Source organism: Homo sapiens, chromosome 15 (assembly GCF_000001405.40).
Source record: "Homo sapiens chromosome 15, GRCh38.p14 Primary Assembly".
Classification (NCBI taxonomy): domain Eukaryota; kingdom Metazoa; phylum Chordata; class Mammalia; order Primates; family Hominidae; genus Homo; species Homo sapiens.
In genome coordinates this window covers 51,036,760-51,055,647 of record NC_000015.10, presented here as the reverse complement: position 1 = coordinate 51,055,647, position 18,888 = coordinate 51,036,760, and the positions used below count along the sequence as shown (strand labels likewise).

The following is an 18,888-nucleotide window of genomic DNA, read 5'->3' as shown; positions in this document are numbered from 1 at the left end:
TTGTCTTCTGTCCGTGTGAGATACAGTGGGGAAGAAAGCAGGATCCTCAGCTAAAGAAGGTGTTGGGTTCTCTCCTGGCTCTGCAGGCCACAGCACAACAATGGTGTAGGAAGAAGGCTGAGTTGGGTTCTGACAGCCCACAAGTCTCTAAGGAAACTGGGTCCTTTCTGCTTTGGTCAAGGAAGGATCAGCACCTCCACCAGTGAATCTCACCAAGTGCAATGGCAGAGTGTGGACCAAAACATTTTCTGTTACCTTAGGCTCTCCGCTGAGGGAGCCAGTGGGCTGTCTACCTAAGACCCCCAGATTTAGCAGCAGCAACCAGTGGGGATCTGGGCTACCTGGGCACAAGAACTCCTCTAAAAATACAAAGCCAAAACCAATCCCATGTGCACATTTCAAACATACGATTTGCATCTAAATCAAGTGATTCTTGAATTTCATCAAGCAGCTGAAAGGCCTACAAATTTCAAATATTTTACATAACAGTCTAGTGACCAAAGCTAGCTTCTCATTATACAGTCCTATTGGTTTATCCTAAGTACTCTAACCACATCACCTGGTGGCCCTGAAAGGCTGTTTTGGCTGAAAAAAATGTGACAGAGGCCAGCAGATGCTTTGGAAAGCAGGACTCTAGATGTGAATTTGTGCTCAGAGCTCTGTACAAAACTCTCAATATGAGAACCCACAAAAGCAGAGTTAGAATAGCTACATTTTTAGGTCCCCAATAACAAACATATCATTTTGCAAAGTGATGGGAAAGTAATTTCAAAAGAAGCAATGGTACAAGATGGCTCAATTGATCTAGCCCCACACAGACTTCAGACAGCAATGCCTGATTCAGCAAACCAGGTAGGGGTGTGACATTCTTTAAGGCTGAGGAGTGGCAGGAGCAGCTTGCATCAGTCATCTGGAAACATCACTGGGTCTTCAACCATCCCTGAACACTCAGCTCTGTCCCCACAGGAGGACACCAGGGACTTGTGCTGAAATCCTCATCAAGCCCTTTTGTGCGTGTCCTTCCTCATATATCTGAGCCCTGCAGAAACACATTCCCTGCCAGCTGCCACCTGCCATGTGTCTGTACCACTCTTCTCTGTGTTTGCATCTGTGGGTCTTGACACCCTCAGTAACTCCAGGTCTCTGCTCAGTGACAAAATGAAAAGACTTCTCCATCTGTGCTTCTTCAAACTCTCATCTCTCCCATCTGTACATTTTATAGAATCAAATCAGTACATTCATTGGCTGCTCCAATGAACTTATTGCATCCATTTATATTTTAAAAAAGAAAAGAGCTCAAATCAGGCCTATGTGCCCTCTGTCCCAATATCTTTTTTTAATTTTTTTACTTTTTAGAGATAAGGTCTTCCTCTGTCACCCAGGTTGGAGTGTAGTGGCATGATCACAGCTCACTGAAGCCTCAAACTCCTGGGCTCAAGCAATCCTCCTGCCTAAACTTCCCGAGTAGCTGGGACTACAGGTATGCACCACCACGCCTGGCTAATTTTTTTTTTTTTCTGGTAGAGACGGGGGTCTCGCTATGTTGCCCAAGGTGGTCTCCAACTCCTAGCCTTAAGCAATCCTCCCACTTCATCCTCCCAAAGAGCTGAGATTACAGACGTGAGCGAGCCAACTGTGCCCAGCCTTGCCCCAATATTTTTAGGACTTTTCTCTTTTTTTAATTCAACATGATCCCAGAGGTCAAGACCAAAACCAATCAGTGAAAATTCAACTTTAGCTGTGAAAACATTGCACTAACAGGAGCTATCCAACAATGGACCAGAATGTTGACAATAAAGTTATGAATCAGATGGCCTTCGAGAAGAGGGTTGCCAAGGCCCTCCCAACTGGGAGTTGAATGGTCAACTGGATTTTGCTTGTTTAATCTGACCCTGCTACATGAGCCACAGCCCAAGCTGGGGCCAGCTCATGCTCTTTCTTTAGAGGGAGGTCTTGCTTGTTGGCAAGGGTAGGGGAAGGGGAGAGAGAATCTTCTACAACACTATTCCTCAAAATAGCATCTATGAATCTCTGAAAGTCCTGAGGGCAAGGTGGGGAGAAGGGGTAGGTGGAGTCCATGAGTTCCAAAATAAGTTTTTAAGTTTTTGTTTCATTCTGACAACTTTTTAAAAAAATTAAAATCAACATAAGTATGTTCCACATCATTTGGGAATGACCTTATAGCCATGTGGTGCCATCTGGCTTCAGTCTGAGTTTCTGAGTTTGTGTTTACAACATCACTCATGCTGACTGAGCACGGCAGGTGAAAGAAAAGAATTTAACTTCATGTGTTTAAGGTCTGACATCACCTAGAGGTCTGCAGGGGGAACTTGCAGGGTCTGTGAGTACTCAATTTAGAGAAACATTGCTACGACATACGAATGTGGAGGCTTGCAGAGAATGAATGTCACCCTCCCCTAAACAGTGACTTATTTGTGGGGGCTTGAAGGTTGAGAGGTGAGCCATGTGTCTGAAGCACACATAGGTCTGCATTCTATGTGCAGGTCAGCTGCCACATGTTCTGCCTGCCCTTTGAAACCTGGCCAAAAGAAGCTACCACATATGTGTTAGTCTGCTTGCATTGCCATAAAGAAATACCTGAGGCTGTGTAATTTATAAAGACAGAAGGTTTATTTTGTCTCATGGTTATGCAGGCTGTACAGGAAGCATGGTGCCAGCATGTGATCCTGGTGAGCACTCAGGGAGCTTTTACTCATGGCAGAAAGTGAAGTGGGAGCAGGCATGTCACATGGCAAGAGAGGGAGCAAAGGAGCAAGAGAGGAGATGCTCTCTTTTAACAACCTGTCTTTTCAACAACCAGATCTCACATGAATTCAGAGCAAGAACTCACTCATTACTGGGAGGACAGCACCAAGACATTCATGGAGGATCCATTCCCATTGACCCAAACACGTTACACCAGGCCCCGCCTCCAACACCAGGGATTACATTTCAACTTAAGATTTAGAGGGGACACACATTCAAACCATATCAACATAGAAATCAAATTAAAAATTGACCAACCTATGCTGGCAATCCTAATACTAAACCTCAAAGGCTCAAGAGTGTCCACCACTGGACAAATCAGGCAGTGTGACTCCCAAGGAAAGGAACAAGGGAGAAGCATTTGAAGAGGTCACCTGCACGTGCTCACACTCTGTCACAGTTCCAGCCTCATCTGCTGGCATGCAGACACAAGTCCAAGGCCTCAGGAGACCTTGTATGCCTCCAGGATCCCAAGAGGTTGTTCCTGAAGAATGAGGCATGTGGCTCTAAGATACTGGTGACATCAAATTCCTTCCAGCCCCAGAAAAAGGAGAGGTCAGCTGGTGCAAAGACTCACACCCACCCCCAACAGCACTGCAGTTCCACTGGTAGCCTTGCCTTTTCCTTACATGTCCTTCCTTTGCTGAGCTGGGGCAGGTCTATACAGAGGAGGGGTCCTGGCAGCCCACCCAGGCAGCCAGAGTCTGGGCAGCCAGCCCTCCCAGGCCTTCATATAGAGCTCTTCTTAGCTGACTACTAAGGCCATTCTGGACCAGTTCCTGAGACAAGGGAGTCTGGGGTTTGGCTCCCAGCTCAAGGAGCAGCTGGGCAGGAGCCAGAGCTTGGCACAGAGTGAGTGCCGGAGGCTAGTGGGGAAGTGGCAATTAGGTTATGTTAGGGAGAGAAACACTTTCTCAGGCTCTGTCACTGGTAAAGGAAGAGCTTGTGGGCTGGTCCCCGAGGAGGGACTTGGGCTCTTTCCACTTCTCCCAGCAGCTGGCTTCCCTGTAAGAGCGTCACATTTCCTCTCAGCCATGGGATGGGGCTTCCCCTACTTTGTGTTTCAGAAATAGTGACAACTTGATTTTAGAAATAGATTGTTGGCTTTGGGTTGGGGGAGATGAGGGAGATGGATATTTTGGGGTTTGCTGTCTTTTCAGCTTTCACAGACAACAGAAAATGTAGAACATGGAGCCAGCCATGGGTCAGGAGGATTCGTCTTAGCTTGCCCACTAGCCAGGGATTTCCTTATGCTTCACCTCTCCAAGCCTCAGTTTCCTCAACTGCAAAAGCAGGGAGTTGTACAAGGTCTTTAAGAATCCTTCCAGTTCCATAGTTCTTCCAAGCAGCATAGAAGAGAAGCTCTGGGCATTTCTGCACTGTAGGTCTCTTAGAAGGAAAACCTATTCATTATTCAACAGAGCAATAGCCTCCGAATTGAAAAATGACTCCTCAATGATCCTCTTCAGAACTTTTGAATGAAGATCTTAGTTGATGGATTTCAAAGGGGAAAAGCTTTAAGCCAGAAAAATGAAAAGTAAAATCAAGACTCCATAAACACCAGAGAACTACACACTGTTGGCCCAGGGAGTCAGCCAATTAGCCAACTCAGCAGGAGCCCGCTGGGGTTCAATGTTAGGCTCAACCCTCTACTGAGACATGCATTACAGATCAAAATTGTGTCAGACTCCAGTAATAGGTCTCTGGACAGAGAACAGGGTATAAGCAAAGTCATGAATAAGTCAATATTGATTTGAGTCAAATATCATAGGATGCTATGAGAATTATTTTAAAATATATTAATGAAGCCATTCCACCAACAAATGAAACATTTTATGGAATTCTCAGTCCTTTTTTAGAAATAGCTTTATAAAGATATAGTTCACATAACATAAAATGCACCAGTTTGAGAGTACAATTCAATGGTTTTTTGAATTGTGATGTGTTATGCGCTACATAAGGACGTTTTGGTCAATAACTGACCCCATAGACAACAGTCATCCCATAGGATTATAATGGAGCTGAAAAATTCCTGTCACTTGGTGATGTCTTCATGATCCTGACCCTTTGTAGGCCTAGGTTAATGTGTGTGTTTGTTTCTTAGTTTATTAACAAGAAAGTTTAAAAAGTAAAAATTTTAAAAATAGAAAAAGTTTGTAGAATAAGGACATAAAGGAAGAAAACATTTTGTGTAGCTATACAATGTGTGTGTTAAGCTAAGTGTTGTTACACAAGAGTCAATATTTTTTAAAAATTTAAAAGTTTATAGTTTCAGTAAGCTAAGGTTAATTTTATTGAAGGAAAAATATTTTTTATAAATTTAGTGTAGCCTAAACGTACATTGTTTATAGTTTATAGAGGTGTGCAATAATGTCCTAGGCCTTCAAATTCACTCAACACTCACTCACTGACTCACTCAGGGAAACTTCCAGTCCTGCAAGCTCCATTCATGGTTAAGTGCCCCATACAGGTGTACCACTTTTTATGTTTTCTACTGTATTTTTACTGTACCTTTTCTATGTTTAGGTATTTTAGATACATAAATACTTACCATTGTGTTACAGTCGCCTACAGTATATAGTTCAGTAACATGCAGTACAAGTTTGTAGCCTAGGAGCAATAGGCTCTACCATATATCCTAGGTGTGTGGTAAGCTACACCATCTAGGTTTTTGTAAGTACACTCTATGATGTTTGCACAACAATCAAATCACCTAATGACGCATTTCTCAGAATGAATCCCTGTCAGTGTATGAGTATTCATTAATATGTGCAACCCTAACCACAGGCAACTTTTGAACATTTTCATTATCTCAGAAAGAAGCCCAATACCTTATCAATCACCTCTCTACCCCCATGAGACCTTATTAGCAACATAAAAGTTGATTTTCTCCCCAAAATATCACAAATAAGAATTTCTCAATATTGTAACTGCTCTATGGTCTTAGATTCAGATCAAGCAAATCCCATTTATATGCATGACTGACTCATTTTGCCGAACCGCATCCTAGATTGAGCCTCAAGCTCCATCTATGTCCCCCACCTCAACATTCTCTTGAGATGAAGCCTCATCAGCCTCTTAACAGGGGTGGCCTCTGTGGGGAAGTGGGTTCTGCAAAATGTTAAGGACAACCTGGCTGCCAGAGTCTGGCCACTCCCTCATCATCCTGCAGCCCCATTGAGGATGCAGAGTCAATAGCCATGTGCTGGGGTTGCCATAGAAGGAATTCAGGCATTACATAGGGCAGAGGATCTCAAAACTGTGAAACACCTGCATCAGAGGTCCCAGGGATGGGGAATGGCCCTATTAAAAATGCAGAATCCTGGGTCCTACCCCAAATCTACCAGCTCCAAATTTCTGGAGGTGGGGCTTGGGACCCCGAATAGTTAAAAAGCTCCTTGGTGATTTTTAGACACAGTAAAGTTTGCTGACCCAGTATAGAGAGCTCCACTTGAAATCATTTGCATCTCAAATTCTGTGGCTTTCAGAATTGTAACTCCTGCCTGAATTGTTTTTACTTCCCACCCTTTTCAGCTTTGAAACTGAGTCCATCTCCTCTTCTTCCTTTGTGTTCAGGAAGCAACCTCTGGGCGTGTGCTCACCCCACTATTCTTCACATGCTGTCATCATCCTGGGGCTGTCAGCAAGCCCTATTCTCACTAGCTGCAAGTGCCTGAAGGACAGCTATCTTTAGGCAGTTATTTCCAATGCGAAGAGCCATGGGAACCATGAGAAAAGTGGCACCAGTTGGCCCCTAATGTCCTGGCAATTGCTGCATTTTTTCCATTTCTCACCTCTCAATTAATTACCTTTAGTAACTGTTTAAAAATTTTCTTCTAAGGTCAATGACCTGGGATGCTGATCTGGAGATATTATTTCCAGAACTATATTTGACCCATATATAAAGAATAAACAGAGAGAGTCCCTACCCCTTGAGGTAAATATCATCCTCTGCCAGGCCTCTCTTTGGCCCTTTTCTTTCCAAGGCCTCCTTTCCAGTAATGTAGGATGATCTGGAAACCCCAGTGTAGAGCAGGATTACTCCTGGAACCTGGAGGCAAAAGGGGGCAGAAAGAGCACCCCAGGCGACATACCTTTCTTTTAGCCAATGGAGAAACAACATCTATAAAAGTTGAACCCAGGATCAGATCAGCCAGCCATGAGACTCCCAGATGGGAGACAGAAGAGAAACCAGGGACACACAGGGACAGAGGGGAGAGGCCTCCAGGAACATGTACATGTGGTTCCATGTGGTTGCAAGTTGAACAGGGCTACCAATCCCTTTAGCTTTCCCTTACCAAGCTCTCTTTGAAAAAAGGGAAGAAGGCTTCATCTCAGAAAAGGAACTTACAGCCAATGAACAAAAAAAAAAAAAAACCAATGTGGGGAGCCCAGCCCTGTGTGGGAGTTGTTGCTCCCAAGCCTCCCTAAACTGCAGGCCCCTTGCACAGGGCAGGACTACAGGTGCTGGCATACAAGGCCATTCCTGTCAGGGGTTGAGTAAGACCCTGCAAAAGTGAGGGCTGGCCCTGATCTCATGCCTCTAATCTGACAACAGGCAGCTCACTTCTGGAGAGATCAACCAGCTGCTAGCTCAGGTATCAGGCCACACCCTGGTCATCCCACAAACTCAAATGCCCAGAACTCAGCAGGGCACTTCTCTTCCTTCTATATGGATGGAGGCTCCTTCCCTTATCATTTAGTTGGGAGGGACAGGAATTGAAAGTGTTTCCCTCCTACTGCTCAACACAATAACAGACACCTTCACTCTTGGAGCTCCTGCCTACTCAGCCCTTTCCCCTGTCGCGGTTATATATGTGTGACCTCCAGCTTCCCTGCTCCACTCTCTCTTGGATTTTCAGCTCACCGAAGAAGAGGTCATGAAATCTGCTCAGTGATGGGCATCAGTCACATGCTGGGACCCATCAGTCCAGGAGAACCAGGGACCCATTTCTTTCAGTCCCTCTAACTCCTCACCTTTTGACAATCACATATCCTTTTACACTTTGCCTAATTTTCTACCTCTGTGATCAAAATCCCAAGGAGAGGAGAGACCTTCATGCTGTTTGTGTGTGCACACGTGTGTGGTTACACAAGCAACTCCTTTTCAAACTTCCAAAACCATAGTAAAAGATATATTTTCCCTTTTTAAAATTAAATCCAGTTGACAAATTTCTCAAAACTCCCTCTGAGTTAATTGCAAACGACAGGATTGCTTGAAAGATTTTTGGATAAACTTAACATCTCCGGGATCTTGAATGTGCAGAACTGGCCCATTAGCACACATGCTTGATGCCTCCCAGCCTGGAGCAAGTCCTTCTACCATCACTGGGAGGAGGGAAGAAGAGGTGATATTTCACTTCCCACCTCTCCCCTTGATGCCTCTCACTTACCTCCTGAGTCATAGGGGTCTCATTTGTGGACTAATCAATACCATCTTGGTGTATTGGAAGAGATACTGCAGCTATTGGGAGAGATACTTCTTCACCCAGGAAAGAACTGCAGCTTGGCCAGGCTGCTGAACTCTCGGCCTTTGTAGGGATCTGATTCCCCCTGGCTTCCCTCCCCCACCTTGGAACTGCTCAGGGAGAAAAGGCCCACAGGGGTGTGGGTGACCCTCACAGTGGTGGCTGGCCAATTCCTCACTTGTGTGTGAGTTCCCAGAGGAAATGCAAACAAATCAGACCACACTTGGCTGCTGGCCAAGGAATCTTTGAACTTCTTCAATAAAAAGTCTTTAAAACTTTGGTTCTGACCCAAATCTTTTGCTCCAACATAAAAACTGCCGGGCCTTAAGAGTTTCTGTTTAGAGAAACAGTGTGTCTCTGGCATTTGAATAAGGGTGTTTATCTCAGAAACCCTTCTTTGAGTTCCACCATGTTCCGTAAGCTCACTGTATCTCACCTTCAGCCTTCAAGCCTCCCTGAATATCTAGCATGAGTACCTACACCTCTTGCAGCAGTTCTTTCTTTATAAGCCCCTAATTGTGCATTGTAAAAGGGCCCAGAGGTTGCTGAGTTTCCCCTGAAATGGAGACAAGAGAGAAAAAACTCTCCAGCAGGAGGCATTTAAAAAGGTATTGGTCACTGATATTTGTTATCCAGTGTGGTCCTGGAGCTGCCATCATTTAAAAAAATAAAATAAGTTGTTTAAGGAACTGGTGCAGTATAAGGCATAGTTGTTTCTTTTAGAGTAAATAATACATTACTGAATGGTACATTTTCATTCCCTATTTGTTGCTGCTTAATCTCCAAAGCAGATTATATGGCACATACCTGTCTCCAAAGTCTTATCCCTTATCTTTATAAATAGAGGTCTCAGGAGGGAGAACCAGGTTTTTCAGACCTAGGCCTTCCCCTTCATCCCATGTGTTCGCCAAATCAATAGCCTCACCACCTCCACTTCCATACCTTCCTGGATATAATTTTATTGAGTCTACTTTCGGCTGTCAAGAGGAAGTCTGGAGGAAATCAGAGCAATTGCCAGGAAACCACTAAACAGGTCCCCTTTTAATCTACCCCATCACCAATTTACCTAAACAACATGGATGGACATTCAGACAGCCACTGAACTCTTCCTGGTGTGTCTCCTGAAAATATAGACTTGAACCTTCTCAACCTGAATTCTGTGTGATCCCCAACTTGCAACACATGTGGAAATCAAAGGCATTGGGAAAGTTCTCTCGAGAGTTGCACATTGCTGGAAAAGTAACCTGGGAGCAGGAGAGGGTTCCAGACTCAAGGACGGAAGAGAGAATCACAGCTCAAACCCAAGGCATATGTTTTAGAAAACTCAAGTGAACAATAATTGTTAACCCATTCCCTTAATTAACACCTTCCTAGAATCCAAACTGTTCATTTTCACCTAAATAACTTTTAGTGACAATAGATGGGAACCAACTCTGTTTCAAAATTAATTTTCTTTTATGGCACACTTCCAGAGGTGTCACAGGGTATTACATGTTGTAAAATAATGTTTTTTTGTTTGTTTGTTTGTTTGTTTGTTACTCTTAAAGTGCCAGGATACATTTATGTGTACATAAATTTTCTGGGCCTAGTATTTTAGACCACCACCAAATCTTTTATAAAAGTGGACATTGTCAACAAAAGAGTCAAACTCTGTACAATATTTGAAAAGACTTATCCTGAGCCAAATATGAGTGATCATGGCCCGTGACACAGCCCTCAGGAGGTCCTGAGAACATGTGCCCAAGGTGGTCGGGGTGCATCTTGGTTTTATACATTTTAGGAAGGCATGAGACATCAATCAAATACATTTATGAAATACATTGATTTGGTCCAGAAAGGCGGGACAACTAGAAGTGGTGGGGTCAGGGGTGGTGGGGGGCGTTTTTTTTGTTGTTGTTTTTTTTTTTTTTTTGAGACACAGTTTCACTCTTGTTGCCCAGGCTGGAGTGCAGTGGCGGGATCTTGGCTCACTGAAACCTCCACCTCCCGGGTTCGAGCAATTCTCCTGCCTCAGCCTTCTGAGTAGCTGGGATTACAGGCACCCACCACCACACCCGGCTAATTTTTGTATTTTTAGTAGAGACGGGGTTTCACCATGTTGGCCAGGCTGGTCTCGAACTCCTGACCTCAGGCGATCCGCCCGCCTCAGCCTTCTGAAGTGCTGGTGTTACAGGCGTCAGCCACCCTGCCTGGCCGGCTATAGGTAAATTTAAACATTTCCTGTTGACAATTGGTTGAGTTTGTCCAAAGACCTGGGATCAACAGAAAGGAAAGTTTGGTGGTAGAGACCAAAGTTTTACTATGCAGATGAAGCTTTAACTTGCAGGCTTCAGAGAGAATAGGTTGTAAAATGTTTCTATCAGACTTAAAATCTGTATTGATGTTAATGCCAGAGATGTATAATGAGGCATGTCTGACCCCCACTTCCCTTCATGGCCTGAACCAGTCTTTCAGGTTACACTTTAAGAGCCCTGGCTGAGGAGGAAGTCCATTCAGATGGTTGGTTGGGGTTGGGGGGTGGGGGGCCTTAGAATTTTATTTTTGGTTTACAACATCATTAACTAGAGATTAAAAGAGGTTCTAAAGATGCCTGCTCCATTCCCTATTTAGGCATCCTTTCTTTTTAGACTGGTGATAATACACATAGCTTCACCACCACCACCACAAAAAAAAAAATAAAAAGTTTGCTTTAACCACCCATAAAACAATTTCATATTCTGTCATAATATTTGTGGACTAAATGTGATACTTGACCTCTTTTTGTTCTGTCCTCATTTTTTCCTATCATTATTTTTATATATTTACATGGAAACTTCTAAAATTGGCCAGAACCATGTTGGAAGAGACAAATTATGAGAGCAGATGAAATAACACGTTCATAGATATTTATGATGTTGTAACTTTCTGAAGCACAATAAAGTCAACTCATACGAGGATAATATTGTCTTGCTAATGCTAGTATTTATGGCAAGTCATAAATGAACACGTTGGGTGCCTATTTTGGGTAATGACTGCTTTTAGAGCGTTGGAAGAATTTCCCACTGTGGGTCACTCTGTTTGACATTACTCCTTCCTCTAGAAAAATTCTGGATGGCTGTTTAAGAGGAGGATGATCCTGGAGTGTGGTCATTATCACTTCCTAGGTGAAGAGTGGTTTCCATTGTTCTCAGGTTGTAGCCTGGAGGCAGTTGAGGATTCATAAAGCCTGGTACTTGCTCCTGCTTTTTTCCTGCCCCTCTCCTTTCTCTGCCTCTATCTTTGTTCTAGTTGTCCCTACAGCCTGATTGCTTTGGAGCTCAAACACAAACTGCTTGCCCTGTCATTTCTCCACTTGCCCATCCCTGCCCTCTCCCCAGCCATGAAACCCAAATTCCTCCTCCATCCTACATGTATACCCCTAAAGAATAAGACTTAGCTATTCTGTTAATCAGCAGGCCTTGCTTGGAAGTCCACTTCAGATAAACAAATGCCAAAAACACTTCTTCTGTTTTCAGTCTATTGTTTCTCTGAGCCCATCTTGTTTCATTCTCAGCTTCCAAAATTTTGGTCATTTTGAGAAAATGGAAGTCTCCCAGCAGAAAAGACCAACTTTATGTAATGACTATATGCTTGGTGAAGTTTTAGGAATTCCCAGGAAAAGCCTGAAAGTCTAACATTGGGACTTCTTTTAGGTAGAGCATTATGTGGCCATACATTTCTGTGCAGTGTTTGAATACTGAGAAGGACATGCAGTAATCCATTATCATGCCCTAACCCCTTGGCACAGCTGTATATGTTGCCCACTTCACACTATAATAGGGTGAAGTGGGCAACATTAAGCACCTAAGAATTATGACAAAAAGGAAATAGAGAAGGAGATCTGAATCAACCAAGGTTCAATCAAGAAAATGGCACTCCAGGGGGGTGGGGGGCAAAGGGAGGGAGAGCATTAGGACAAATACCTAATGCATGTGGGGCTTAAAACCTAGATGATGGGTTGATAGGTGCAGCAAACCACCGTGGCACATGTATACCTATGTAACAAACCTGAACATTCTGCACATGTATCCCACAACTTAAGGTAAAATTAAAAATATATATATCACTCCCAAAATTTTGAACATAGAATTTAATACAGGGAATTGATTACTGAGTTGATGGAAAGAGTTGAGAAGTCTAACAGGGTACAGTGATGCACCCCAAAGATTAGCAATAGCAGGGGGTTGCTACCAACCCTTAGAACAGGAGGGATAGAGAGGAGAAACTTATTTTCAGGAGCTCAGGAGGTCCAGTTTGAATAAAAAATTGTAGATTGTAGGCATGTTACCACCTCCATTTACGTGTAACCTCCCTTTTCAGGACTCTCAGTTTAGGGGTAAAGATTTCTCTATAGATTACTTAAAAGATTAAAAAAAGTCACTGTATTCCATGGAAACAAGTCTAGATTCCCAGTAGGCATCAAAGAAATGTTTGATCCTTTTCAGGTCTTTGAATAAACATGAAGGAGAGGAATAAATATGATCAACCCTTGCCCATGTCCTCTCTTACTCCAGTGGGCTCCCCACAGGCCATTAGAGGTAGGGAGACCATATATCCTGATTTGCCAAAGACAATCCCAATATACATCTGTTTTCCTGGCATCCTATCTTGTTTAGCATATGTCCTGGAATTTTCATCTTATAATGAAGTATTATCAACAATTGTATTAAAATGAGCTGGGATAGGTTTGGTAGACTTCCACTTTGCACTTCCACCTTCCACCATAGTTTCAGGTAATGGTGTGTGAGACTCATGTGCAGTGAACAGATTTCTCATTTTAACACATTGAAAGATGGCCATCTACACTCATATCTCTTTTCCAACTTTTTATGATACAACGTAATTAACATATCCCTTTCAAAATTGGTTTGCAGAGTGTTCACTGATAAAACTAAGTGCACTCCTATGCCAGTGACTAGGACCAGTTAACTACTGGGCTTGGGTGGTTGTGGTGAAAGTATGTGTCACTCTTGCCCGCCTGTTATGTCATGGCCATTGCCACAGCCTTTTCAATGCACAAAGCATTCAGACCACTAATTGGAAGAGTCAGTGAAAAGTTGTTGGAGTTGGTGTACATGAAATACAAGGGTAAACCAAAGATGAAAATGAAAAGAAAGTTTCCCAAATGCTCTTGATATTTTGGTTTTCTCATTTATTACATGATGTGAATCTATAACTATTTATCTCACTGTTTGGCAACAATTTTATATTTTGTAGTAAATCCTTTCAGCAGCACTGAGCTCAAAAAATAAAAATTTAATGAAAATTAAATAATCAAATTTCCATTTCATGAGAAAGTTGATGGATACGCAACTTGCACAGAATGTTTATATTTACCATCTACCTCTGTGATAGTATGATCACATGAGAATTAGAAGCAGCATCAGCATCTCCTTCAGAAATTAGCAATTATCTTAAGAAGACTGCACCCAAAGACACCATATGCAGCTGGAGAAGGTGTGTTTACCTATCACTTAGATCAAATGATTCTCCCCTTAAATGAATTTTGCTCATTTTTGATTCCAAGTTTTCTCATGCATGGACAAAAGGTAAATTAATAGCAGAAGTATACTGCAAACAGTTGAATGATGCCTAGCTTAATACCAGCATCACTAGATGACTCAAATATAAAATGAGTTAATTCCCATAATGCCTCAATTTTTTTCATCTAATTAAGTCTTAAAATGTTTATTTTGCCAAAAGTGAAACATTTGTTGTAAATATTATTGTAAATTCAATTAAAAATTTGGCATCAAGGATAGAATTATTTATTTTTGCAATGATAATATAAATACAAATTTGGTAGAATATAGCATTGTGATAAAACTTATATTCTTACTAGATTGAGCAAAAATGTATTTTGAGTGGATTGTGGTGCATACATAATTTATAACTCAATATCATAAACCAGGATATTCTACCGATTGAAGCAGCATCTGTACTTACCAAAGTTTACATATATTTTATATATACACAGTACAAAATTTTCTGATAAAGATGATGTTGTATTTTTTTCAATGCTTCAGTATGACAGTTCATACTTTTTCTCTTTACTATCCATCATCAATTAGATTTCCAAAATGTCTGAGCCGTTGGAAAATTAGTTTTGAAATCAACTAAAGTATCCTAAGTGGCATTGAACTTTTACATAAATAAGATCTCTAAATTTTGGTTGTACTTGGTTGAAAATCAGCTGGAAGTTTTTAATCAGGGCGTCCTCAGAGTGCCAAAAACTTTAATTTTTGAAGCTTTTATCAAAGTGTGGTTATCAATAGATACATAAGAAGGATTTCACAAGACCCAATACTATTTCATGGTAAACATACTCAACAAACTAATAGAAGGAAACTTTCCATAGTTAACATATACCTACTGGTGATAGACTTGCTATGTTCATTTTTAACTACTTCTATTCAACATTGTATTACAGGTTCTAGTCAGGGCAATTAGGCAAGAAAAAGAAAAAAGGCATCCAGATTGGAAAGAAAGAAATAAAACTACCTCTATTTGCAGAAGGCATGATCTCACATATAGAGAACTCTAAAGAATCTACAAAAATACTACTACAGCTAATTATTTCAGCAAAGTTCCAGGATACAAGATGAATAAATAAAAATCAGTTGAATTTCTATCTACTAGCAATGAGTAGTCCAAAAATGAAATTAAGAAAACAATTTCTTAATTGTTACATTACCACCCAAAAGAATAAAATACCTAGGAATAAATTTAACCAAAGAAGCTAAGGTTAACTACAAAACATCATAGACAGAAATTAAAGAAAACCTATGTAAATGCAGACATCCTGTGCTCATGGATTAGAAGACAATACTGTTAAAATGGCAATATTCCCCACAGTGATCTACAGATTCAGTTGAATCCTTATCAAAATTCCAACTGCCTTTCTTATCAGAAGTGAATGAGCCTATCCTAAAATCTGTACGAAATTGCAATGGACACAGAATGGCCAAAGTCATCTTGAAAAAGAAGAAAAAAGTTGGAGGATTCACACTTCCCAATTTCAAAAGTTACAACAAAGATACAATAACCAAGATAATGTGGACAGACATATAGATCAACGGAACAGAATCAAGAGTCTAGATCAGTGGTCTCCAACCCTTTTGGCACCACAGACCAGATTTGTGGAAGACAATTTTTCCATGGACAGTTGAGGGGATGGTTTCAGGATGAAACTATTTCACCTCAGATCATCAGGCATTAGTTAGATTCTCGTAAGGAGCGCGCATCCTAGATCCCTTGCACATGCAGTTCACAATAGGGTTCACACTCCTATGAGAATTTAATGCTGCAGCTGATCTGACAGGCTCAGGCTGTAATGCTCGTTCACAGCTGCCCACCTCCTGCTGTGCGGCCTGGTTCCTAACAGGCCACGGACCGGACCGGTATCAGTCCACAGCCCAGGGGTTGGGGACCCCTGGTCTAGATAATGAATCCATATATTTATGGTCAATTTATCTTTGCCAAGACCATTCAGTGGGGAAAGAATAGTCTTTTCAACAAATCGTGCTGGGACAACTAGCTATCCACATGCAAAAGAATGCATCAGGGCCCCTAATTCGTGCTATATGCAGACTTTAACACAAAATGGATCAACTACTTAAATGTAAGAGTTAAAAAAATAAAAACTCTAACGAGAAAATATAGGTGAGTAAGGGCTTCAAGAGGACTGGCTAGAGGCACCCAGCACTCACCTCCTCCACAAAGAAGAACCAAAATAGTAATAGATAATCACACTTTGAATAGATCATCTAAAAGAGAACACTGGAATTCAACAGAGAAATGACAGGAAACATTTAAAGCAAGGAAGAAGAAGGAAGCAAGGCAGCCTTCTTAACCAGGATCAGCTGGGAGCCTGGAGAGGCTCCCCAAAGTGGGGAAAGGGTGAGAGATCCCCAGCAGTCCACATTCTCACAGCAGACTCCTGCAATCCTAGCCACAGGGGAGCCCATTGACCCTTGTGGGCCGCCCTGAGACTAACATAGGAAGCTGCCTGGAGACCACGCAACAGTATTGCTCCAGAGAGGGAGCTTATGTTGGGTCCCGAACAATTCCGAAGTCCTAAGCAGACACATCATGGTGTTATATTGAGAGCCTAGCCCCACCAGCTTGCATCCTGCCTGGGGGCCCAACAGCACCTGCATCTCCACATCCCTGGATCCCCATTAACATCACCAAGAACAGCCACCACCATAGCTGGCTGCTGCTGCCAAGGCTGAAGCTTAAACCATTGGCAACATCCCCACTGCTCCCAGCAGCAAAGCCATCATGAATTTTCATGAACCCTGAGGACAAACTCCTCTGCCCACAGTCACTACCACTGCAGGCTGCCACCACAGCGGGGCGGGTGGGGGTGGGGGGGTGGGGTGTGTGAAGCACAAGCAAAGTGTATGCTCCTTAGCTGCCTGCATACAGCTGTTGTCCTTGAAAGCAACCCCACCCTCCCTAGTAGCAGGGCTGCTGACACCCCCGCCTGAACATTCACTTAGGACCTGGGAATCACCCTATTTCTGCCTATTATAGTTAGTCCCTGCATGCACCACGAGGGGGCCTGAGGATAGGTCCACCCATCCCAGCTCTGCCACCCACCAATGCCTAAACATACCATCCAGGGGCCTGGGGACCACTCAGACTAGTCTACCAGTTTTGGCACTTGAGCCTCCTAGGGTCCTGAGGTCAGGCTCACTCAGCCTGCCACTACCACCATAGCAGGAATCCACCAGCATGTGCCACCTATGGGCCTGGTGACCAGCCTACCCAGCCCATCACAGCCACCACCAACTCCAGCAAGGACTGCTTGGGAGTCAGAAGGTTGTCTCAGCACTACTACTGCCATTGCCCACACCACACTCACTCCACAAGGACCTGAAGAACTTGTCCACTATTGCCACAACCAGCAGCTGAGTAAGCTGCCTGGAGGCCCAAGAATCGGCCAGCCTGGACCTGCTAACGCCAGTGCCAGCATACGCTGCCCTGGGGCCTAAGGACAGGCACATTCTGCCTGCTGCTGCCACCACTGGGGCCCAAGGACAGGACTACATGGTGCTCTTGTCCTCAGCAAAATTTCACCACAGACTCCACTAACAACTGCACCCTAAAACGAGTGAGGAAATCACAGACATCACTGTTGCTGTTTATAGCCAAAGAAATAATACAGAGACTACACTACTGCACGCACCCAGAATCAAAGCACAAGTGCCCTACCCAATCAACACCATAGATACATCTTCAGGAATAAGTCCTCTCCTATAAAAGCAAATACAAAATACTGGAAGAAGTGACTGTTACACCAGATGCACAGATATCAGTGTAAGGACACAGAAACATGAAAAGCAAAGAAATACGACACCTCCAGGAAAAACAGTAATTCTCCAATAACATATTCCAAGCAAAAAGAAATTTATGAGATCACAGAAAAAAAGTGAAAATATTGATGCTGAAGAAGTTCAGTAAGATACAACAGAACACAGAAAAACAATACAAACAAATCAGAAAAACAATTCAGGAAATAAATGGGAAATTTACCAAAGAGATAGAAATCATTAAAAAGAAACAGAAATTCAGGCAAGGAGGCGGAGCAATATGGCTGAAAAGAACCCTCCAGCAATCATCCCCCCTGCAAGAACACCAAATTGAACAACGATCCACCCAAGAAAGCACCTTCATAAGAACCTAAAATCAGGTGAGTAGTCACAGTACCTGGTTTGAACATCATATCAAGGAAAGAAGCAGGAGGAGCCAAGATGGCCGAATAGGAACAGCTCCGGTCTACAGCTCCCAGCGTGAGCGACGCAGAAGACGGGTGATTTCTGCATTTCCATCTGAGGTACCCAGTTCATCTCACTAGGGAGTGCCAGACAGTGGGCGCAGGTCAGTGGGTGCGCACACCGTGTGCGAGCCGAAGCAGGGCGAGGCATTGCCTCACTTGGGAAGCGCAAGGGGTCAGGGAGTTCCCTTTCCGAGTCAAAGAAAGGGGTGACTGAGGGCACCTGGAAAATCAGGTCACCCCACCCGAATACTGCGCTTTTCCGACGGGCTTAAAAAACGGCGCACCACGAGATTATATCCCACACCTGGCTCGGAGGGTCCTACGCCCACGGAGTCTCGCTGATTGCTAGCACAGCAGTCTGAGATCAAACTGCAAGGCGGCAGCGAGGCTGGGGGAGGGGCGCCCGCCATTGCCCAGGCTTGATTAGGTAAACAAAGCAGCCGGGAAGCTCGAACTGGGTGGAGCCCACCACAGCTCAAGGAGGCCTGCCTGCCTCTGTAGGCTCCACCTCTGGGGGCAGGGCACAGACAAACAAAAAGACAGCAGTAACCTCTGCAGACTTAAATGTCCCTGTCTGACAGCTTTGAAGAGAGCAGTGGTTCTCCCAGCACGCAGCTGGAGATCGGAGAACGGGCAGACTGCCTCCTCGAGTGGGTCCCTGACCCCTGACCCCCGAGCAGCCTAACTGGGAGGCACCCCCCAGCAGGGGCACACTGACACCTCACACGGCAAGGTATTCCAACAGACCTGCAGCTGAGGGTCCTGTCTGTTAGAAGGAAAACTAACAAACAGAAAGGACATCCACACCAAAAACCCATCTGTACATCACCATCATCAAAGACCAAAAGTAGA

At 43.5% G+C, this 18,888-nt stretch overlaps 1 long non-coding RNA gene across 1 annotated transcript in view, besides 1 other annotated feature; it reads right to left on the bottom strand.

The window, feature by feature from the left end:
- Nucleotides 1–18,160, bottom strand: part of MIR4713HG (MIR4713 host gene) — a 256,425-nt gene extending 238,265 nt beyond the window's left edge. The window contains exon 1 of the long non-coding RNA NR_146310.1: nt 17,967–18,160. This is a non-coding gene — a long non-coding RNA (MIR4713 host gene). The remainder of the gene's footprint in view (nt 1–17,966) is intronic.
- Nucleotides 11,114–11,645: an enhancer, noted in NCBI's record as "NANOG hESC enhancer chr15:51336200-51336731 (GRCh37/hg19 assembly coordinates)". NCBI's record gives its function as "activates a minimal SCP1, AML or CMV promoter by ChIP-STARR-seq in naive H9 embryonic stem cells {active_cell/tissue: H9 hESC(naive)}" and the evidence as "EXISTENCE:reporter gene assay evidence [ECO:0000049][PMID:30033119]".
- Nucleotides 18,161–18,888: the final 728 nt, after the last annotated feature.